The sequence below is a fragment of the Homo sapiens genome, chromosome 1 (assembly GCF_000001405.40).
Source record: "Homo sapiens chromosome 1, GRCh38.p14 Primary Assembly".
NCBI lineage: Eukaryota > Metazoa > Chordata > Mammalia > Primates > Hominidae > Homo > Homo sapiens.
The window spans coordinates 86495695-86519255 of NC_000001.11; the positions used below are offsets into that span (position 1 = coordinate 86495695).

Genomic DNA, 23561 nt, shown 5'->3' on the forward strand with positions numbered 1-23561 from the left:
ATACCTGGCTTGTGCAAAAGCATTGGTTTCAAGAGGAAACTATTAAGCCTGTGGGGCAGAATGGTGCATGATTAAATCAGGGTTTCTCAACCTTGGCATTATTAAGATTTTGAGCCAGACAATCCTTTGTTGTGGAGGGCTATCCTGCACATTGTGGCATGTTTAGCAGCATCCTTAACCTCTATCCATTATTTGTCAATAGCAATTCCCTAGTCATGACAATCAAAAATGTCTCCATATGTGGTCCACTAACCCTTAGGGGGGCAAACTAGCCTCCAGCTGAAAATCACTGGATAGAACATAGCTTTTGACTGCCTTACTTCAAAGCCCAGCCCTCTATCAAATACAGTATTTTGTGTAATCTTTTTGTACTTCACTCTCCTCTGTTGTAAAATAAGGATAATAATGGCAGCTACCTCATAGGATGGTCACACAGAATAAATAACTAAACACATCTAACAAACTGTTACTGGTAAATAGTGTTTAATAAAGGTTTTATCATTATTTTAAAAACACTTCTAATGAAGTTCTTTCCATTGAAGCATTTCTAATTTATCCTAATGAATCTGTTCCACAGAATAAAAAAGTAATAATTTAGGGTTTGTTATCTACATCAATATCATTATCCAAGTCCACTGTCTGTCTTTCCTCTTTTCTCCTCCTGCTCAGGCCAGGGAGCATAGTAGATGAATTTCATGTGGGCCAGCACACTGAGCCCACGTGTAAGCAGGTGGGAAAATTATGTCCATGAAACAGACAGTCCCATACCACTTTTGGTTACAAACACTTGCCCTGGACTAGAGAAGGAATTGAGACCAAGTTTGTGTCCCAATGGGTTCCAGGACTAGTTTTCCATCAATCTCCACCCTGTCCTGGGCAGGCTTTCTCCTGAGGTTGGTGTGCGGGAAGGAGAAGAGCTCCTTTGAGAACCTTCCCACTGTCATCTTTACTTGGGTGTGTGCTTAGTGAAGAGAGGATTCAGAGACACATGGTGTCACTCATGCAAAGGTGATAATAGAGGGAAATGTTTTAAAAGATACCACTGCATTTTTTTTTTAGACAGTCTTGCTCTGTCACCAGTCTGGAGTGCAGTGGCACAATCTCAGCTCACTGCAACCTCCACCTCCCGGGTCCAAGTGATTCCCCTGCCTCAGCCTCCCGAGTAGCTGGGACTACAGGCACGTGCCACCATGCCCAGCTAAGTTTTGTATTTTTAGTAGAGACAGGGTTTCACCATGTTGGCCAGGATGGTCTCGATCTCTTGACCTTGTGATCTGCCCGCCTCGGCCTCCCAAAGTGCTGGGATTACAGGCGTAAGCCACCGTGCCCAGCCCATGCCACTGCTTTTTGAGTTAGGGGAAGGAGGCAGAAGGGGACTGGTTTAGTGGCTAGGTCTAGCCTTATGGCAGCATTTTACTTACAGTAATATATTTCATTCTTGTAAGTATCCCTTTTTAAAGATGGGGAAACAGAAGCTAGAGAGCTTATGGGTTCATATAACTAATAGTGTTAGTGCCTGGCATAACAGTAGAAGGCCATGTTCTTCCCTCTATCCCTCGATAAGCCTTAATGGCAGTCTCTACTGGTGCTTTCAACATGAACCCTGAACCTGCTAGAGCATTCACTTCATCTTTGCCAAGACCAGATTAATGGGTATGAAGATTAAACGGTCTTTAACAGATAAAAATTCTATAAAGAGGTAGAGTTTATGAGAAAACAAATTCTAAGTAATGCCATGTTAGGATCTTATGAGATATTTTTATTGAAAAGAAAAGAGAACCTGAGAACTCTACAGATTGAACAGACCAGGGTATTTTTTAAATTCCAGGATTACTTTTATACATGTCTTCAACAAGAATGTGAATGAAATTGGGATCACTACAAGAACTAGATTCCCATGCATTCACTGAGAAAATGAGAAGTCTTTCAAAAGCACAAAATTTTGGAACCCTAACATAAAACATTTTATTAAAAACTGAAATTTAATAAGAAAAATGAAATACAAACATCGAGAAAGTGAAAGAAATATGCATAAACAATCAAGGCATTCTTGAAGGTCCAGTTGATTAGTTGCCAAATAAATAGGAAAGATAATGAAACTCACACTATTATTTAGGAGGAATACATTTCTTGAGGCAGTCTGAGGTTTAAAACACTTAGTCTTTAGGCCCGGCACAGTGGCTCACTCCTGTAATCCCAGCACTTTGGGAGGCTGAGGCAGGTGGATCACCTGAGGTTAGGAGTTCGAGACCAGGCTGGCCAACATGGTGAAACCCCATGTCTACTAAAAATACAAAAATTAGCTCGGTGTGGTGGCACATGCCTGTAATCCCAGCTACTCAGGAGGCTGAGGCAGGAGAATCACCTGAACCCAGGAGGCAGAGGTTGTAGTGAGCCAAGATTGCGCCACACCAGCCTGGATGACAAGAGCGAAACTCCATCTCAAAAACAAAAACAAAGAAAGGAAGGAAGGAAGGAAGGAAGGAAGGAAGGATGGAAGGAAGGAAGGAAGGAAAAAACAGATGTAGTATTTAAACTGACCTTGTGGAAAGACAAGATCAGGATGGGCAAAAAGATGGGAAAATAAGCAATTTTAGGACAAATGTCATGAAAATAAATTCCAAAAGGTTATTCCACTAAATATCCAGGAAATATCTAAGAGATAAAAAAAAGAAACTGTGATTCTCTGTTTTCTCTTTTCCCTCTGATGAAACCGTATTTGTGGTCTTGTCTCCAAATATTTAAAATTAATTCTGTGTGTGGAAGGAAAGAAGCAGAAGTGGGGAACAGGAAGAGGGTGATCTGATAAGAAAACAGACGGAGGTGTCACCATTTAGTGATGTTGCTTACCATATTTTGAGTATTTTTTTAATGCAGATGAAATACAATGGAATCCACCAAGACCTGAAATTAATAAGGATGATGTTCAACACAAGCAAGTGTGTTTCAGCAGAACATCCTCGGGAGGCTCATTTGTGGCTTCTGATGTCCCAAATGCTCCCATACCTGATCTCTTCCCACCTGGCCAAATCACCGACCTGAAGGCGGAAATTCACGGGGGCAGTCTCATTAATCTGACTTGGACAGCTCCTGGGGATGATTATGACCATGGAACAGGTAAGCTGAACCTGGTGTGGACCCTGTAAAAGAGTTTACCAGCCAAGTAGAAGAGCAGAAGCGGGTGAGGCAGGCAGCCGTGTTCTGATACTTAGGGGGCAGAAGGCAGGAGGGATCTTGCCGGTCCTTTGAAATGAGGGATAAATGTATTTAAAGAAGAGAGATTTAAAACCTGAAAAACTGGTAAACTTTGGGAGTAAGAGGCTTCAGCCAGGAAGGGTAAACCTCACTTTGTTTCTGAAATCTTACCAAACTGTCCTTTGACAAACTCCATTTTCTGGGTAGCAGTGACTCCTGGGGAAGAACTGGAAATGGAGCATAGATGTCTGCAGAGCAGAGCTCTTTTGGAAGGAACCTCAGGTCCTACCAGACTTTCTCTCTCAAAGTGTGGTCTGTGGACTGCAGCATGTAGATACCATGAACACTTGTTAGAAAGTGTTTTCAGATCTGCATTTTCAGATCCCTGGGTGATTTGTACACACATTACAGTTTGAGAAGCATTGGTGCAAACTGCCTCTATAAATAATAAAACAATAAACAGTTGTTAAACAGTCTCTTCTTTCTGCCGGGCACTATGGCTAGAAATGCTGACCAAGGCTTTACGTCATGCCCAATCCAGTTTTACGCTTATCACTGTGTCATTATATACAAACAAGAATGTAAAAGAGATAGTAATCCTTGTAAACAGGACCATCAGTTCATTTATTTGGGAACCTTATGGGGTGATGATATAATTTCTCATAGACTTTTAAAGCTTTTTAAATATTTTTTAAAGCTCTACTGCTTAAGAAGTTTCTTTAATATTTCAGAATTAAAGTCACATTCTTCTTTTTTCTTTTTAGCTCACAAGTATATCATTCGAATAAGTACAAGTATTCTTGATCTCAGAGACAAGTTCAATGAATCTCTTCAAGTGAATACTACTGCTCTCATCCCAAAGGAAGCCAACTCTGAGGAAGTCTTTTTGTTTAAACCAGAAAACATTACTTTTGAAAATGGCACAGATCTTTTCATTGCTATTCAGGCTGTTGATAAGGTCGATCTGAAATCAGAAATATCCAACATTGCACGAGTATCTTTGTTTATTCCTCCACAGACTCCGCCAGAGACACCTAGTCCTGATGAAACGTCTGCTCCTTGTCCTAATATTCATATCAACAGCACCATTCCTGGCATTCACATTTTAAAAATTATGTGGAAGTGGATAGGAGAACTGCAGCTGTCAATAGCCTAGGGCTGAATTTTTGTCAGATAAATAAAATAAATCATTCATCCTTTTTTTTGATTATAAAATTTTCTAAAATGTATTTTAGACTTCCTGTAGGGGGCGATATACTAAATGTATATAGTACATTTATACTAAATGTATTCCTGTAGGGGGCGATATACTAAATGTATTTTAGACTTCCTGTAGGGGGCGATAAAATAAAATGCTAAACAACTGGGTATACATGCATAAAAACTATCCATTCAAACCCAAAAATTTAATAATCATTGAGTCTTTTATTAATGAATTTGAATACTAGAAAGAAACAGGGCTTGCATCAATAAATGGAAGTATGTTTTTATTTGTTTTAAGGAGCTTTGCCAGTTAAAAACAACATGCAATTGCAGAAATCTAACAGAGTTGCTAAAAGTTGTTTGATTTCTTTTGGTGAAGAAAAGCCAATCTAAATTATTTAAATATAAAAGACATGACTTGTTTTATAGGAGTTTTGGACCAGCATCACTAGGAATATGTCTTATTTTCTCTAAATTTGAGCAATGATGGTGCATTTAAGGAAGAGATGGCATTGAAGAAAGAAAGAACAGCACAATGAAAATTCCCTAGGCACAGAAATGAACGTTATGTGCATGAAATTACAAGAGTTAGTGATGCTTTAAGCCATGGCAGTGGGGATAAGGTGGGAAAGGTAGCTTCAGGCCAGGTGTGAAGGGAAAGTGATTGAGAAATAAACATTTATTGTGTACTTTGTCCAAGGGCCCAACTAATGCCTTATGTGCATTAGTTTATTTAATGTAATTCAGTTCTTTCAACAAATGTTCACCAGCTGCTTATTATTTTCCAGGCCAATGCTAGGTTCTAAGGATAGAAAGATGAGTAAGCATTGGCCTTTTTCCTGTATACTAAAAAGAGCATTTGAGGATTTATTTTTGAAATCAGGAGGCAGATATGCTCAGAGATATGCTTGAGAAGGGAGTCTTTAAGAACCGCACGAAGCCCTTAATAAGTGTGAGAAAGACCAGCAGCATAACAAATGAAAGGGGAAGGAGAAGAAGAGGAAAAAGGGTTGGAAGTGTAGGCCTAGCACTATGGCAGTCCTCGTGAAGGACTAGTCACAGATTCCAGTGCCTGTAGGTGTAGATAGTCCTGTGAAAATTGTTTCGAGTTCCCAGTTATTAGTACAATGAGTTCAAGATGTGGGTGGCTCTCTTTATGATTGAAAACAAAATATCTAGCATATCATTTCTGCGTAGACCCAAAATTTCTTTATTTGTAGACCTTTCTTATTTCAAAACCAGATTTGAGCCATCTTAGTGATACATGCAATAAACATAAAAATAAAGAAATAAAATATATAATAAAAACTAGAAGAAGTGCTCAGGTATAAACCTATAAAGAATACATGGGGGAAAAAAACTAGAGGGAAAACCACCACATCAAATGCATAATATAATGTTCTGTACAATTGCTACAGCCAAGTCACATATTTCACTTTGTGACAAGTAGGTAGGACAAATGAAGTGTATATAGTAACAAGATTAACAGAGTCTATAGTGAAAAGCAAGCCAGAAGCAGCTCAGGAGAAGCATGGCTTTTCCTAGTCGTGAGACCCACAAGAAGTTTTATCTGTGGATCCTCAGTTTATTAGGGCACTGTGATGTTAAGGGCCGCAGCCAAAGCAGCAACCGTATAGTAATCATAACAACAAGTTTAATATAGGGCTAATTACTTCCTTCACTGTAAGCCAAAGGAGTAACACCACAGCATTGTTCAGGAAAGGCAATTATACAGGGACCCAAAAAATGCGGGCCTAGCAATTAGCTCTTGAGCTTGCCCCAGAGGTAAAATTTGGAGTGAATGGATTGCATGTCCTTCAGGCTGTTTCCTAGGACCCGTATTTCTTACATATAAATTTGTTATAAAAACTGAACAGTAGAGAGTTCCAAGACTAGGAAGACCCTGATGTTCCCAAAGTCAGTACTGTTTATTGAGGGCACAACCAGTTGCTTTGCCAGCCAAATGGGCAGAGGGTTGTTGGGGGTGCATGGCAACAAATTCAAGCTTGTATACAAAGCATTTGAGGTCGGGGCATGGAAAAAGACGGAGGCACTGTGTGTATGTTATTTGTGCATGGAAATGTAACTCCTTGACCCTGAAAACAGGACAAGGAGTGGAGTGTGTCATGAGGAACGCTGAAAACAGCCTCCTGAGAATGTGGTTTGAATGCTTTTAGAAGGCCACAGGTGTGTCACGACCCGACCTCAAGAGGCCATCTAGTGGATGTTTGTAGTTTAACAAGCCCTTTCAATAAATACTTGGCGGATGGATTCTGGGGTGACACTCTCTCAGAAGAGTGGTCCGCCGCTCCGCTCAGCTGGAATTGTCTGAGAACTCATTCTGGGCGTTCACTGCAAGCTATAAACTCTACAAGTGGTGCGCCCGAAGTGATCGCCTTGAAGTTGCACGTGAAGGAGGAAAACTCCTTAATTTTTGGGGAATCCCAGTAAGGGACAGTCCTGATTGCCATTAGGAGGACGGGACCCACGCGTAAAATACCAGGGGTTGGGTCATCATGGGTCAGGAAATGACCAAAGAACAGAAAGTATTTTTTAAAACAGTGCAACAGCTACTTAAGGCTATCCAGTGCACTGTAGAGCCTGGAGCTCTACACAAGCTTATGCTTTTAATTCGGCAGGGATGCCCTTGGTTTCCTGATCAAGGAACCTTAGATTTAGAGTTATGGGAGCAGGTAGGTCGCTGCCTGAAAAGAGGATATGAGCAAATGTTACTATTTTGACCACCTGGGCGCGCTGGTACGCTCTGCGTTGTATCCTCTTTATCTGCCAGATTGCGGTGAGTCAGACCGCCCATTATCTCCACCTGAAAGGAATTCAGAAGATTTAAAGGGAGAGATTCCTCTCCCCTCTTCATTCCCTTCTATGGGGAATAAAGAAGAGATTTTTTCCAGTGAGGAAAAACAGGAACCAGAGCAGCAGGGGGGTGCTCCTCTCTCTACTTCATTCCCTTCCGTAGGACATGAGCAGGATATTTTTTCTAGTGAGGATAAGGACGGACCAGAGCCTTTTCCTCCCCCTATAGAAAAGCCATTGCCCTCCTTTCTTCCACCCTTAAAGGGACCTGCATTTGTTGGCCCCGTTCAGCCAACAGCGCCTCCCATCCCCCTTAAGGAGATTGGAAACTGCCCAAGGGACGGTTCTTAGATAAGACCCCCGGTCAGCGAACATCTGTATGATCGGGTGTCCGCTTCTCCTTGACAAACTTCCCTGCTGGAGGGGTGCCTCCAAGAGGGAAGGAAAGTGGCTGAGTATGATTGTCTTCCTAATACGCAAGTTCTCATTTCCTACTTCCAGCATCAGCCTTTCTGGCCTTGTCGGTTTTCTGTTTCCCTGGAGTATAAGGGGAACTTACATGCTGCCTCCTGGGTTTTATCCTAGATAGCTCTGGCTTTCTTGCTGCCCACAGAGGCCTGGGGCAGGAGAGTTGCTAAGATGCCATGGAGTGCCCATTTAGTCACTTGCAGTCTGGGCAGGTTGCCCCTTTCTGGGTTTGTGGTGATGGAGGGGAGGTCAAGAGGCACAGACCGAGTCCCCGGGTGGCTGCAGGCAGCTCCAGCCGGGTCCTGAGGATCCTCCTCACCATGGTCACGTGCCTTAGTAACCGTGCCCGGGAAGTGGCCTGCTGCTTGCTGTGCTGCTGCTTTTCCTACTTCTGCCCTTCCCTGCCACCCCTCGCATGTCTCAGTTGACAAGCAATTCCTTGTCTTCCCTGGCCCCCTAGGGAAAGGGCTAAGAAACAGTCCATGTGCACGCCGACCTTACTAGCCTAAGGTGGGCAAAGTAGTGCGGAGGAGCCTAGAGTACGGAGCCCTGAGGGAGGAGCCCGCTAATAAGGGACGCTCTCCAGTAGCCATATGCTAAATGCTAACTAGGCTGAGGTGGATGAGCTCTGCCAGCTGCTGTCATCGTCAGAAGATAAGACGCAGCAGTAAGGAATGTTTGTTTCGCTTTTTTATAAAATGTTTAAAAACACTGGGGCTAAGAAACTTCAAAGCAGACACTGCGCTGCCTGTCTGCTCCTCCCCTGAGCCTCTCTGCTTGAGGGTGGTAAAAATAATAAAAAGCGCAGTCTATTTTCAGTACCTTACCTAACAGGGTTGGCTTCAGGCGTAGGTGGCCTAAAAGATAAGCGGAGTGGTTTTCTCCCAGCCGGTTACCTTCTTCCCTCCAGCCTCTGCGCTTACACACGCACGTTACCACCCGGTCATTCTTTGGCCTCTTACTGCCACTTGTAGTCTTCCTTCCTTTCTTTCAGAGTAAGGGCAGCAACAAGTGGCAAGCTGTTAAAAACAGAAGCTGCCTAAGGAGCCCAGACCGAATAAAAGAAACTGGCCACAGCCCTACTTTCCCAAGCTCACTTCTAAGACATTCCATCTAAAGGCTGATGCAGGAAAATGGCCAACACCAAAGGACATTTTAAAAAGTTTTTTGGGGTTTTTTCTTTTTTTTTTTTTTACATACTTAAGCTAACTCAATGCAGGTTTATTATCCTGGCGACTTGCAGTCACATTCTAATGATTTTCAAGGGCCAAAATATAGTAATAATCATTTGAAATATCCATCGCTTCCATGCCTTAGTTTAACAGGTAGGCTTTATCTTTTGCCATTTCTGTATTTTACATCTGTTATGTACCTGTCTCATAATCCCTCTAAACATACACAAAAGACAACAGATTTAATAGCTTCTCTTCTCATAAAGGGACGCCAACGTTGCGTCCAGCTGTCAGGATATGACCCTGCTACTCTTTCCTACCTTTAAGCAAGGAACAATTTCATACTCTCTTAGCTCGTGATCTTGATTGGCAAGTAGCAATGGCTGACTTTATTCGTAATATCAGCTTCAATTTACCAGCCTCTAAGCTCCTGAACTTTTTACAAACTATGCCTGTGAAGTTTGTATCTATTGTTGTCTCTGAGCCTTTACTTCATGCCATCACTCTCTTTACAGATGGTTCAGGAAAAACTGGAAAAGCAGCTATAGTGTGGCAAGATGCCATGCAAAACTGGCAGTACAGAATCCAGGAGCATTTTAAAAACTACACAACAGGCAGAGTTAGGTGCCTTGATATTGGCCTTACAAATTTTCCTCACCAAGACGTAAATATACTTAGTGATTCCACTTATGCGGTGTATAGTATTACTCATTTAGATCTTGCACATGTGAAGGGCATTACTAATGAACCCCTACTAGCTTTGTCTCTTGCAGCGCAAGACTCCTCCTTGCCAGTCATCACCCTCTTTACATCACACATATTCGCTCTCATTCTGGGCTATCTGGTCCCTTGTCAGAAAGGAATGCTTGAGCTGATGCTCTGGTACGACCACAGATGTGGTTTGCAGATTCTCCTGCTTTTTTGCGAGCTCAAGCTGATCATGCTGTTTTTCATCAGAACGCCTGCAGTCTTAAACAACAGTTTCATTTGACACTTGCTTAAGCTCACATGATTATTAAAACTGTCCTGATTGCCAACAGCGTTCTCTTTCCCCTTTTTCCTTAGGGCTTAGTGCCAGCCTACGAGGTCTGGTGCCTAACACTATCTGGCAAACTGATGTTACTCAGTAACCATCCTTTGGAAGTTTTAAATTTCTCCACGTTACCATGGACACTTATACAGGCCTGACACATGCTACCCCCCAGACGGGAGAAAAAAACTAAAGATGCATTTGCTAATTTGTTTAACTCTATTATGACTCTAAGCTTTCCACACACTATAATAACTGATAATGGACCTTACTATCTTAGTGCTCAATTTGCATATGCATTGCAACTTTGGTACATACAACACAAAACTGGTATTCCTTCTAACTCAGCCAGTCAGGCCATTGTTAAATAAGCTCATCAAACTCTTAAAATATATCTTAATAAACAAAAAAGGGGGAATATGGGGCTCTGTTCTCGAGACTAGGACCTGTCGGAGAATCAACCAATAATGACAATGATGACTCAGAAGTCACCTAACATTACCTGGGGACAGCTAAAGAGATTGGATCAACAGGCATCTATCCTGCTTGCAGCCGTGGAAGCCCATGCAACTGCAGAGAATCGGTTTCTTATGTATCTGTGGCAACTGGGGAAACTTCTGAGAAAGTAAGACAGACATGGATGTTGGGGTGGCTGGTAATTCTTATACTTTGCCAAGTGGGATCAGCTCAAGAACATGTTTATTGGAGTCATGTTCTAAATCCCCGTGTTTTTAATGTTATTACATGGTGGGATGCTGACCCGCCTTTGTCATCTAATGACACTTCTTGGATAGGAGGTCGATGGATGCTCTTGTCTTACCCCTTAACTGAAAATTTGGGATGGATTAAACTTAATTACTCCTTGATTTTATTGTATAGCAATCCCCCTATTTGTTTTTCCACAATAGCACGTGATAAGTGTGTCATTCTCAATCTTCAGGAATATCTTTACCTCAGTCCAAAAGGGATACTAAGCTTGCAAACTTGACCTTTATTTCTGCTGTTACCACTAATCTTACTGAGGTCTCTAATGAAGCTACACAAGGGCCTGATCTTCCTATATGCCGTCTGAGTAGAGACTGGCAATATAAGTTTGATGTCGTCCAGTGTTCGCTGTGCAGACAGCCTGCGCCCCATCAAGGGCCTCTGTTTGATAATGGGGTCCCCATGGTAATCTTATGTGTGCCAATCAGACTACTGGATTTGGAGTCCTTCCAATAGTTTTGTCACCTGGTCAGAGTATGGGCTTTCAGGACCAATATTATAACTAACAGGGAAACAGGCTTTAAGCCCTGCTCATACCGAAATTTGGAGACTAGGACTTCCTTTTATTGAATGGGTTCTTTCACATGGTGAGTATATTACTAGTGGTGGCAACTATACCCTCTCTTTGCATAATAATGTTACTGACACAGTCCTGATTTGTACTATGCACCCCTATATACTTTTGTTTGGGCAAGGTGTTCCTAACATAGAGCAGAATCAATCCTTTTATAGTATTAAAGTCTCTTCCAGTAGTTAGTATGCTACATGATTGTCTCATCAAAACATTACACAGTTGAATATAACCTATGTCATGATTGTAAAATGGCGTGCAGAATTGTAGCTGCCCATAAATTTAACCAGGAGCTGGGAAGGAGATTCCACTCTGCAGCTATTTAGAAAAGCACTGTCTCATACTCAGAAAAAAAGATTTCTGGCCACTTTAATTGCCTTTTTAGTCTCAGCTATTATTATATTAGCAACTGCCGCTACTGTGGCTGTTTCTCTGACACAATCTATTCACGCAGCCTCAGTGGTGAACCACACTGCATATAATGTAACCCATGAATTTCAAGAACAGGTAAATATTGATAAAACTATTCTGCCTCACCTGGAGGCTCTTAAAGCCACTGTTAAATAGCTAGGGAATCAGCAGCAGGCATTCATTACCTGTCAAAATTTACATTGTGATTGGCAATATAATTCTATCTGTGTCACACTTCTGCCGTATAATAGCTCCCAATATGCTTGGGAGAGAGTGAACACACATCTGCAAGGGGCTTATCGCGACCATTTGTCTTCTCAAGTTTCTACTCCTAAGTGTGAGTTGAAGAAACAACTTGAAGAAAGGTCACAGCAATCACAAACAAGTACCCTTCAGCAATTTCAAGAAGGCTTTCAATGGTTAAACCCAAACACTTGGTTGTCTGGGTTAAACATGCGCATCTGGGTGATGGCCGCTATAGTTATTCTTTCTTGTATCTGTTTGCTAGACATCTGCAGATGGCTCTGTGCTGCTACCCAGCGCGTCGACAACCAGGGAAGAACGATAGAAGTTTACCTTGCATTGGATGACCAGCACGCTCTAAGAATTAAAGAAGGGGGAGACGTCGGGGGTGCATGGCAACACATTCAAGCTTGTGTACAAGGCATTTGAGGTAGGGGCATGGAAAAAGACGGAGGCACTGTGTGTATGTTATTTGTGCATGGAAATGTAACTCCTTGACCCTGAAAACAGGACAAGGAGTGGAGCGTGTCATAAGGAAGGCTGAAAACAGCCTCCTGAGAATGTGGTTTGAGTGCTTTTATAAGGCCATAAGTGCCTCACGACCCGACCTCAAGAGGCCATCTAGTGGATGTTTGTAGTTTAACAAGCCCTTTCAATAAATACTTGGCGGATGGATTCTGGGGTGACACTCTCTCTCAGAAGGGTGGTCCCCCGCTCCGCTCAGCTAGAATCGTCTGAGAACTCATTCTTGGCGTTCACTGCAAGCTATAAGCTCTGCAAGGGTCAGTTTGGAGTCCTTTTCTAAATGTTACAAAACCAAACCAAGCACTTAGCTGATGAGAAGGCCACTTTGTGACAAATGAGACTGAGGTCCCAACTTCGTAGAACATGGTTACCATGGATTTCGCCTGGAAATTTTTCAATAAGTCACTCACTGAGATTTTAATTTCCCATTTGGGTGAACTCAGTAAAATGTAGCATGGGATATGGTAGTAAACCAGAGATGCATACCATGTGACTTTGGAGAAGAAGAGGTAAATGTTAACATATAGATAAGATAGAAAGTAGAGAACAACAAAGAAAAAACATTCTTATGTACTCTGGGTTATAGGAAAGTTTATTGCGAAATGGATCTGTATTGTCATAGGTGATAAAATAAGCCAAATTTTTGCCTTATGCCATCATTGACCCACAATGGCCTTAGCCTCTGATAAGTCAATTAAGTGAGTGAGTAAATCTGGTAAATCTGTTCCAGATGTTGGTACTTCTCTTAATATCCAAGTATCCAGCATCAAAAGAGCGTAGGGAGAAATATTCTCCAAGCTCCCCTTTGCAACTTCCAAGCTAGGCTGTTACCCCTATGATCTAATGTGGTTTGTTTAAAGCTTCCATCCTATGTCATTGATCTATGCTGTTTTTTAATCCCTTCTCTTCACTGTTATCTACCACACTCACCCAAGTTAGGCACAACACTCTTCCCCCCTCACCTCTTAAAATCACTCTGAGTGGTCTCAGAATCTATATGAATGAGTCAGTTCATATCTCAGCCTCAAAATTCCTTGATCGTCACCCCACCTCCACTAAAATTGAACAAACTATTGGTTTGAATAATAAAAGTGTATTTTTATAAGTAAAAAATTCGAATATTGGCAATTGCATATGGTTTGAGCAAGTCTTGCTAAGGCCACATTTTGACCTAGTAATGACCTGAAACAACCGCACCTGTGAAATCTTAAAATCCAGTATCCTATTCTGGACACAACCTCCTAACCCTCTGTGCTGTTCACTTCCTATCCCACTGAACTGACGTTGTAATTTCATGATGACTCCCATCACTTGATTGTTTCTTTTTACCTGGTCCATTATCTTTTTCTTTATATGGCCCCTATATGCCTTGGGATGTCACTTCAAGTCCTCCTTTGACAATTCCTTCAACTTCCACCTCTTAAGACACCTGCCCTGAAATCCTTTAGCTTTGCATTAAGCATGTTGTCTGTGTGCTTGAGACATTCATTTATCTATTCAGCAAATACTTTTAAAGTACCCACATTGTATCCCAAGTCCCATGTTAGACACTAAGATTACAATGGGTAATGAGCTACATGGTTTCTGCCAACTAAAGTACTATCAAGCGAACAGGCACTTAACAATGCGCAGATCTATAAGGAGCTTAAATTTACAAGACAAAAACAACCCCATTAAAAAGAGGGCAAAGAACATAAACAGACACTTCTCAAAAGAAGACATACATGCAGCCAACAAGCACATGAAAAAATGTCCAACATCACTAATTATTAGAGAAACGTAAATCAAAACCACAATGAGATACCACCTCACACCAGTCAGAATGGCTATTTTTAAAAAGTCAAAAAATAACAGACGCTGGCAAAGTTGCAGAGGAAAGGGGACACTTATATGCTGTTGGTGGGAGTGTAAATTAGTTCAACCATTGTGGAAAGCAGTATGGTGATTCCTCAAAGAGCTAAAAGCAGAACTACATTTGACCCAGCAAACCCATTACTGGGTATTTACTCAGAGAAATAGAAATCATTCTATCATAGAGACACACGCATATGAATGTTAACTGCATCACTAATCACAATACCAAAGACATGGAATCCACATAAATTCCCATCAATTATAGATTGGATAAAGAAAATGTGGTGCATATACACCATGGAATACTATGCAGCCATAAAAAAGAACAAGATCCTGTCTTTTGTGGGAACATGGATGGAGTTGGAGGCTATTATCCTTAGCAAACTAATGCAGGAACAGAAAACCAAAGACCACATGTTCTCACTTATAAGTGGGAGCTAAATGATGAGAACTCATGAACATAAAGTAGAGAACAACAAACACTGTGGTCTACTTGAGGATGGAGGGTGGGAGGAGGGAGAGGAGAAGAAAAAATAACTATTGTCCTCTGATCTTTATACCTGGGTGATGAAATAATCTGTACAACAAACCCTCATGACACAAGTTTACCTATGTAATAAACCTTCACATGTACCCCCAAACCTAAAATAAAAGTTAAAAACAAACAAACAAAGCAATGCACAGTATGTAGGGTCTATTTCAGGGGAAGCACATATTATAGGAACTCATGCTTTGCATACCTAATCCACATGTGGTATCTGCCAGAGAAAGTGATCCTTTTACTTTCATGATGTCTGGGTATATGTATAAAATAAGAAGAGAAGAGAAAAGCAAGAGAAAGAAATGAAGCAAAATAACCCTAATCGAACCTCTGTTTCTCCAAATATTACTACATCTCGGAATTAGTCATGCTGGGCAAAATCTGCTTCCAGGTATACTCTGGAATTCCTCTAGGGATTGAATTATTTTTTAATTAATTTTTTGTTGGATATTGGCAAGTTATAATTGTATATATTTTATGAGGTACAAAATGATTCTTTCATATATATATATATATATATATATATATATATATGTACACACAATATGGAATGATTGAATCCAGTTAATTAAGAAATCCGTCACTTCAAATTCTTATCATTTATGCCTCCTGTCTGGCTGAAACATTATATACTTTGACCAACATCTCCCCATTCCCCTAACTCTCCAGCCTCTGTTAATACCCATTCTACTCTCTGCTTCTATGTATTCAATTTTTTTAGCTTCCACGTATAAGTGAGAACATATGGCATTTGTCTTTTGTATCTGGCTTATTTCACTTAGAAAAATGTCCTTCTGGTTCATCCATGTCACAACATAATCTATTTTTTTAAGGCTGAATAGTATTCTATTGTGTGAATATATAGATAGATACATAGGGTGTGTGTGTGTGTGTGTGTGTGTGTGTGTGTGTGTGTGTATTATATATATATATATAATATATACACCTGTATATGTATGCATATACAGATACACATACATTCATCCAAACAGATGGATAAAGAAAATGTTCTATATATGGATGGACACTAAGATTGATTCCATAACTTGGCTATTGTGACTGATGCTGTAATGAACATGGAAGTACAAATATTTCTTCAACATAGTGATTTTAAAACTTTTGGATATATACCCAGAAGAGGATTTGTGGATTATATGATAATTTAGTCTTTTGAGAGACCTCTATACTGTTTTCCCTAATGGCTGTCTTAGCTTACATTCCCACCAACAGTATACTAGGTTCCCTATTCTCTACATCCTTGCCAACAACTATTTTTTGTCTTTATTATAATTGCCATTCTGATAGGTGTTAAGTTATATCTCACTGTGGTTTTAATTTGCATTTCCCCAGTAATTAGTGACGTTGAACATTTTTTTCATGTATTATTGACTATTTGTATGTCTTCTGTGTTGCTCCGGCTCATTTATCAACTGACCCAAAAGACTGCCAGTTTTGAGGGGGGTCCAGAACAGAAGGCTCTGCAACAAATCCAGGCTGCTGTGCAAGCTGCTCTGCCACTTGGGCCATATGACCCAGCAAATCCAATGGTGCTTGAGGTGTCAGTGGCAGATAGGGATACTGTTTGGAGCCTTTGGCAGGTCCCCATAGGTGAATCACAGCTAGGATTTTGGAGCAAGGCCCTGCCATCTTCTGCAGATAACTACTCTCCTTTTGAGAGACAGCTCTTGGCCTGTTACTGGGCTTTGGTGGAAACTGAATATTTGACTATGGGTCATGAAGTCACCATGCTCCCTGAACTGCCTATCATGACCTGGGTGCTTTCTGATCCATCTAGTTATAAAGTGGGGTGTGCACAGCAGCATTCCATCATCAAATGGAAGTGGTATATAATGTGATCTGGCTCAAGCAGGTCCTGAAGGCACAAGTAAGTTACATGAGGAAGTGGCTCAAATGCCCATGGTCTCTGCTCCTGCCACCCTGCCTTCTCTTCTTCAGCCTGCACCAATGGCCTCATGGGGAGTTCCCTATGGTCAACTTACAGAGGAAGAGAAGACTAGGGCCTGGTTCACAGATGGTTCTGCAAGATACACAGAAACCACCCGAAAGTGGACAGCTGTAGCAATACAGCCCCTCTCTAGGACATCCTTGAAAGACAGCAATGAAGGGAAATCTTCCCAGTAGGCAGAACTTCCAGCAGTGCACCTGGCTGTGCACTTTGCATGAAATTAGAAATGGCCAGATGTGCAATTATATACTGATTCATGGGCTGTAGCCAATGGTTTGGCTGGATGGTCAGGGACTTGGAAGAAGCATGATTGGAAAATTGGTGACAAAGAAATTTGGGGAAGAGGCATGTGGATGGAGCTCTCTGAGTGGTCAAAAACTGTGAAGGTATTTGTATCCCATGTGAGTGCTCACCAACGGGTGACCTCTGCAGAGGAGGATTTTAATAATCAAGTGGACCCGGTGACCCATTCTGTGGACACCACTCAGCCTCTTTCCCCAGCCACCTCTGTCATCGCCCAATGGATCCATGAACAAAGTGGCCATGGTGGCAGGGATGGAGGTTACTCATGGGCTCAGCAACATGGACTTCCATTCACCAAGGCTGACCTGGCTATGGCCACTGCTGAGTGCCCAATTTGTCAGCAGAAGAGACCCACACTGAGCCCTCCATATGGCACCATTCCTTGGGGTGATCAGCCAGCTACCTGGTGGCAGATTGATTATATTGGACCTCTTTTATCATGGAAAGAGCAGAGGTTTTTCCTCACTGGATAGAATAAGTGTCTATCCGGAATAGACACTTACTCTGGATATGGGTTTGCCTATCCTACACAAACGGCTTTTGCCAAGACTACATCCGTGGACTCACAGAATGCCTTATTTACCATCATGGATTCCATACAGCATTGCCTCTGATGAAGGCACTCATTTTATGGCCAAAGAAGTGTGGCAGTGGGCTCATGCTCATGAAATTCACTGGTCTTACCATGTTCCCCAACATTCTGAAGCAGCTGGATTGATAGAACGGTGCAATGGCCTTTTGAAGTCACAATTACAAAGCCAACTAGGTGACAATATTTTGCAGGGCTGAGGCACAGTTCTCCAGAAGGCCATGGACGTTCTGAATCAGCGTCCAGTATATGGTACTGTTTCTCCCATAGCCAGGATTCATGGGTCCAGGAATCAAGGGGTGGAAGTAGAAGTAGCACCACTCACCATCACCCCTAGTGATTCACTAGCAAAATTTTTGCTTCCTTGTCCCATGACATTATGTTCTGCTTGCCTGGAGGTCTTAGTTCCAGAGGGAGGAATGCTGCCACCAGGAGACACAACGATCCATTATACTGGAAGTTAAGATTGCCACCTGGACACTTTGGGCTTCTCCTCCCTTTAAGTCAACAGGCTAAGAATGGAATTACAGTGTTGGCTGGGGTGATTGACCCGGACTATCAAGATGAAATTAGTCTACTACTCCACAATGGAGGTAAGGAAGAATATGAATGGAATACAGGAGATCCATTAGGGTGTCTCTTAGTATTACCATGCCCTGTGATTAAGGTAATGGGAAACTACAACAGCCCAATCCAGGCAGGACTACGAATGATCCAGGCCCTTCAGGAATGAAGGGTTGGGTCACTCCAACAGGGAAAAAACATGGCCGCCTGAGGTGCTTGCTGAAGGCAAATGGGATACAAAATGGGTAGTAGAACAAGGTAGTCATTGGTATCAGCTACCACGACAGGACCAGCTGTAGAAACGAGGACTGTAATTGTCATGAGTATTTCCTCCTTCTTTTGTTAAAAACATGTTTGTACATGTACACACTTGTACCAAGAAAATATCTTCATTTTTTTTCCTTTCTCCTTTATCATGTGACATAAGATTTATTGACTTCACATTAGCATTTAAGTATCGTTAACTTTATGTATTTGGGTTGGGGACTGGTGCATTTTGGTTGTATGAAGGATAGTTGTATTATGTTAAGCGTAATTATGACCTTATTATTGTCTTTATTTGAAGATTATGTGTGATCTTAGGAGATGTGTATGGCTTCAAGTTGACAAGGGATGGCTAATACTGAGAGTCAACTTGATTCAGTTGAAGGATACAAAGTATTGATCCTGGGTGTGCCCTTGAGGGTGTTGCCAAAGGGGATTAACATTTGAGTCAGTGGGCTGGGAAAGGCAGACCCACCCTAAATCTGGGTGGGCACAATCTAATCAGCTGCCAGTGCAGCTAGAATATAAGCAGGCAGAAAAATGTAAAAAGAAAGACTGGCCTAGCCTCCCAGCCTACATCTTTCTCCCGTGCTGGATGCTTCCTGCCCTTGAACATCAGACTCAAAGTTCTTCAGTTTTGGAAATCAGACTGGCTCTCCTTGCTACTCAGACTGCAGATGGCCTATTGTGGGACCTTGTGATCATGTGAGTTAACATTTTAAAAAATCCCCTTTATATATTCCATTAATTCTGTCCCTCTAGAGAACCCTGACTAATACATCCTCTTTTGAGAAATGTCTGTTTAGGCCGTTTGCTTATTTTTTAATCAGGTCGTTTTCTTGTTATTGAGTTGTTTGAGTTCCTTATATATTTTAGATATTCCCTCTTTATTGGATGTATGGCCTTGCAAATATTTCCTCCCGTTTCACAGGTTGCCTGTTCACTCTGTTATTTGTTTCCTTTGCTGTGCAGGAGCTTTTTTGTTTGATGTAATACCATTTGTCTATTTTTGGTTTTGTTGCCTGAGGTTTGGAGTCGAATCCAAAAAAATCATTGCCCAGAACAATATCAAAAATAAAGAAAATATAAACACTATAATCTTTAAATTATACTTTAAAAATACACCTGACATATGGCCTCAATAGATTTTCATTGCCTCCAAGTAATTCTACATGGTTTCAGACTTTTAAAGAAACGCCAAAATCTTTCCCAAAAAAATCTGTTAGAGTGATTCATTAAACTAAGAAAGAGAAGACAAATCAACAAAGCAGTGTTCAAGGAGGCTTACAGTAAAATTTCACATAGACAGTCAAATCTAACAACCCAGGTAAGAACTAAATAAAGAGGACAAGAAAGTCATTCAATTAAAAAGCCCAAGCAATGCAAAGTTATTGTAATTGAGAAAAATCTATTTAACTCGGTTCCTGAACCCACATGCAAAAGGAAAACATGTTAAATGCTTCTTCCTAACCTATTTTAGCTGTTTCTAGAGATAAAGCTTTTCCTAAATTTCAAAGAAGCTCAGAATTCTTAAGGGGGAGGGGAGACTAAAAATTAGTGATGACCTGTACAATGGACAGCACAAATCAAACTCCAGAGGGCACACTGAGTTCACGTGTGATTCAGGCAGGCACAGGAATGCACTACTCCTACTGGTAGGGCATGGAAGTGGGACCCCAGGCAGCACTTTAAGGATCAAGGCAACCAGTCCATGTAGAGAAAAGTCTCCCTCCTCAGACACTAATCTGAGGTTTGGAAAGCAAAATACTACCACCATCATCACACCAACTCGGGGGGGAAAGTGCAGGGTGAGGGAGAGGTGAGCAAAACTCAGGGCCTTGACAGAGAAGAAAATGGTGTGATATTATTATCATTATCATTAATTATTTTATCTGATAATGATAACAGCTACCGTTTCCTGGGTTTTTTGTTTTGTTTTGTCTTGTTTTACTGAGTGCCAGGCACTAAGTGCTTCACATCTTCACGTCTAGGTCCTCCACTAATATTTGAGTGTCCTGAGGCAAGAGGACAAATGTAGATCCAGATACCATGTGTCTAAATATGTAAACATTATAAATCAGGCCTACAAGCTGTTACAATGTGTTATCTCCGGTCTTGACAAATATACCTTCATAAGGATTTGGAAGTCCAGGTTCAAATTTAAAATTCTTGGAAACCTCTTAGTGTGATGGTGGGACATGACACCTCAGGAACAGATGGGCCATGATTCACCATCTTCCTATCTTTCTCTACTCCACAGTCCAAACCCCAGCAGGCCTCATGCATATGGGTGTGGCCTCATCAGCCCATACACCACATCAATAGCTACCCTTTGTCCATCTTTCCAACCTGGAAGTATACATATCTTTGTCACAATCTTCCCTAGGAAGAACTCCAAGTCAGTTGTGGCACACACAGACCATGGAAGCAGGATGAGTCATTTGTCAGGGAATTTCATGTTGGGTATGTTATGCAGGTTCTAGAAATGTGGGGCTGTGGGAGGACACACACTGGGTGTCACAACCCCTTGGTCCTGTGGACTCTACACTCCATCGGAAGAGGACAGGACACATTACACAATTTTGGGGACCCAGTACAAAATGAAAATGCAGGACCAAGGCCTTATTCAAACATCAGGAAAAAAGTGTAATTAAAGTCACTAAAATATAAAGCTTTTTTCTTTCTTCCATAGTGCATCTCAGCTTGTCACGGTGTTTTTTTGTTTGTTTGTTTGTTTGTTACTTTTTTGTCATTTAATGTTCTAAGTAAAGAAAAATTATAATTCTAAAGTATTCATATGAATTTCACCACATGAATTTCACCACATAATGCATCTACATTATGTGTTGCCAGTTTTAAACACAAATGTAAGAACTTTTAACTTGTATATTGAATACACAATTTGTATTTTGTAGCTTGTACATGCATACTTACTTTGTTTTGTCAAAACAATGAAAATACTGCATAAAACTGGCTCAAGTGTTTTTATTTCACTTAATATGTTCACATTCTACCAACACCCTCTACCTTCAGCTGACTGATGAATAAGAAAAGACTGAAAGGAAAAGGAACTATGGGCTGCCTCATCTTTCTCCTTCCTTCTATGTCATCATTTTCAGCACAAGTAATTGGCAAATACAGGGAAGTAACACAAATAAAAAAGGATAGGTAGAATCACGTGGTCTTTTATGTTTCTTAGAATGTCTTTGCCTTCTTTCTGTGTTTAAAGAAAGTTCTGGTTTGAACTAAAAGTGTGGTCTCAAGATGTCAGGGCACCTGCTTACTCAGTCCTAGAAATGGCATGCTTATCTGGCATTTTGAGTCTCACTGACTTTCCAAGCATTCTAGGCCTACCCAAATTCTTTGTGCATGAGCCATCAGGAACCTGTATGCAAATGGCACAGTAAGGAATGGCAGATACACATAATCACACCTATCTCCACTAGTTACACATGTTCTCTATTGTCCCATCAGGCTTCCCTTATAAAACACAAGTTCAAAGATAAAATTATTAAGAATTTTAAGACAACTGAAGCAGAGGATTAAACCAAGCACAGGACCCCTTGAGTGCAGGGCCATAAGTGACTACACAGGTCTCTCATGCCCTTGAAACTCACCCTGGGTCCACTAAGGGGAAGAAATGTCTTATCAAAAGGCTGTGTAGATGGACAACTAAGACTGAGAGCTAAATGATCTGCCTGCAACCTCACTTGGTAAGTGACTTAAGCAGTATGTAAATCACAGTTAGTCTGACTCTGGAAGCCAATCTCTTTCATCAGTTTATTATATTTCCTCTTGAAAGAAGCTTAGTTGCATGAACTGAGCCAACACTGTACAAGCCTCAGATGTTCAACAGCTTTAGTCCCTATAGCCAAGAAGCATTTTCAGGTTAATTCATTGGCAGGCTCACTCCAGAAACACAATTGCAATTATATTAATGCTATTCACAAGACATTATTTGCTGGATGAAGAAAGAAGTGGAAAACTACTTTCCTTATAGCAGTAACAGAATACTTATTAAAACCAAGAATAATAATAACAAAATTAGAATAACAAAATACTTATCATAGCTTAGTAATAATACTAAGAACTGCTAATATTTACTAAGCACTTTCCATGTGTCAAGCACTACTCTAAGAGCTTCTGCTATATTATCTCATTTTTCTTCACAGAAACCCTAGGTCAATAACATTATTATCCATATTTACAAATCAGGAAGCTGAGGCAAAGAGTGGTTCAACAAGTTGAGTAAGGTCATACTGTGTTAGTGAGCTCTATTTGCAGGCAGGTAGAACTAAAGCAATTGACCCAGACAAGATAATCCGTAAATATTTCTAGAGTAATAGTACAAGTAACTTCAGGAACATTTTAGTTTATCTGATGAACATCTAACATTAGCCATTTTTTTCTTGCATTTTACTTTTCAGAAAGGAATTTTAAATGCTTTCATTATAGATCTAATTTTTTATTGTGTAGTCAAGGTCCCATATGCAGGAAATATTTTGTATTTAATTCAATGTCCTGTGTGCCTTCCTTATCTATATTTCCACTAACCAGGAAATAAGGGGAAATTCCTATGGATTCAGGGAAGAACTATTACAAGGGACTATTCTCAACATAGCTATTGACTTTGGAATTTTTATGACTGTGCGTCCATCAAATTTACTAACTTAAAGTATGTAGTTAAATGGCCTAGCTTGCTTGTCTGTTTTGTTTTTCTGTTTTAACATTGGATAATGTGTGTCAATCAAATTTGCTAATTTAACATAACATAGTTGTCTAGTTAGTTGGAGTTTTTTGTTTTGTTGTTCTGTTTTACTGCTGAATAGATTCTTAAATCAGGAGAACTGACATCTTGCTAATCTTTGTCACTGTGGGCTAGATGGTTTGAGAACCTAGTGAGACTTTGAATCAGAATCCCAAAAGTGGCTTTAGATGCTTTAAATTCTTACCACTTTTCTATCTTTTTTTTTTTTAAATAACAGAGACAGGGATCTTGCTATGTTGCCCCAGGCTGGTCTCAAACTCCTGGCCTCAAGTGATTCTCCCACCTCAGCTTCCCAAAATGCTGTGACTACAAGTG

The 23561-nt window shown here is 40.9% G+C and overlaps 1 protein-coding gene and 2 long non-coding RNA genes across 4 annotated transcripts in view, besides 2 other annotated features; 1 reads left to right on the forward strand and 2 right to left on the reverse strand.

Annotated features, from left to right (window-relative positions):
• Nucleotides 1–4565, forward strand: part of CLCA1 (chloride channel accessory 1) — a 31333-nt gene extending 26768 nt beyond the window's left edge. Inside the window, exons 13-14 of the mRNA NM_001285.4 lie at nt 2878–3117; nt 3960–4565. Of these exons, the coding sequence (NP_001276.3) occupies nt 2878–3117; nt 3960–4351 (632 nt within the window). The 3' untranslated portion in view covers nt 4352–4565. The remainder of the gene's footprint in view (nt 1–2877; nt 3118–3959) is intronic.
• LOC124904210 (uncharacterized) overlaps nt 1–23561 on the reverse strand; it is a 51701-nt gene that overhangs the window by 19799 nt on the left and 8341 nt on the right. The gene's annotated exons all lie outside the window — the stretch shown is intronic.
• On the reverse strand, nt 6308–8636 carry LOC105378827 (uncharacterized). Of its 2 annotated transcripts, none has more exons than XR_001738132.2 (2): nt 8508–8636; nt 6308–7222 (listed from the first exon to the last, which is right to left on the reverse strand). It is a non-coding gene; the product is annotated as an uncharacterized LOC105378827 (long non-coding RNA). The 2 variants fall into 2 exon arrangements; XR_947557.2 differs by lacking the exon at nt 8508–8636 and adding an exon at nt 7772–8159.
• Nucleotides 6750–6839: an enhancer, noted in NCBI's record as "active region_1277". NCBI's record gives its function as "activates an Ori minimal core promoter by ATAC-STARR-seq in GM12878 lymphoblastoid cells {active_cell/tissue: GM12878}" and the evidence as "EXISTENCE:reporter gene assay evidence [ECO:0000049][PMID:35858748]".
• Nucleotides 12093–12594: an enhancer, noted in NCBI's record as "NANOG hESC enhancer chr1:86973470-86973971 (GRCh37/hg19 assembly coordinates)". NCBI's record gives its function as "activates a minimal SCP1, AML or CMV promoter by ChIP-STARR-seq in naive H9 embryonic stem cells {active_cell/tissue: H9 hESC(naive)}" and the evidence as "EXISTENCE:reporter gene assay evidence [ECO:0000049][PMID:30033119]".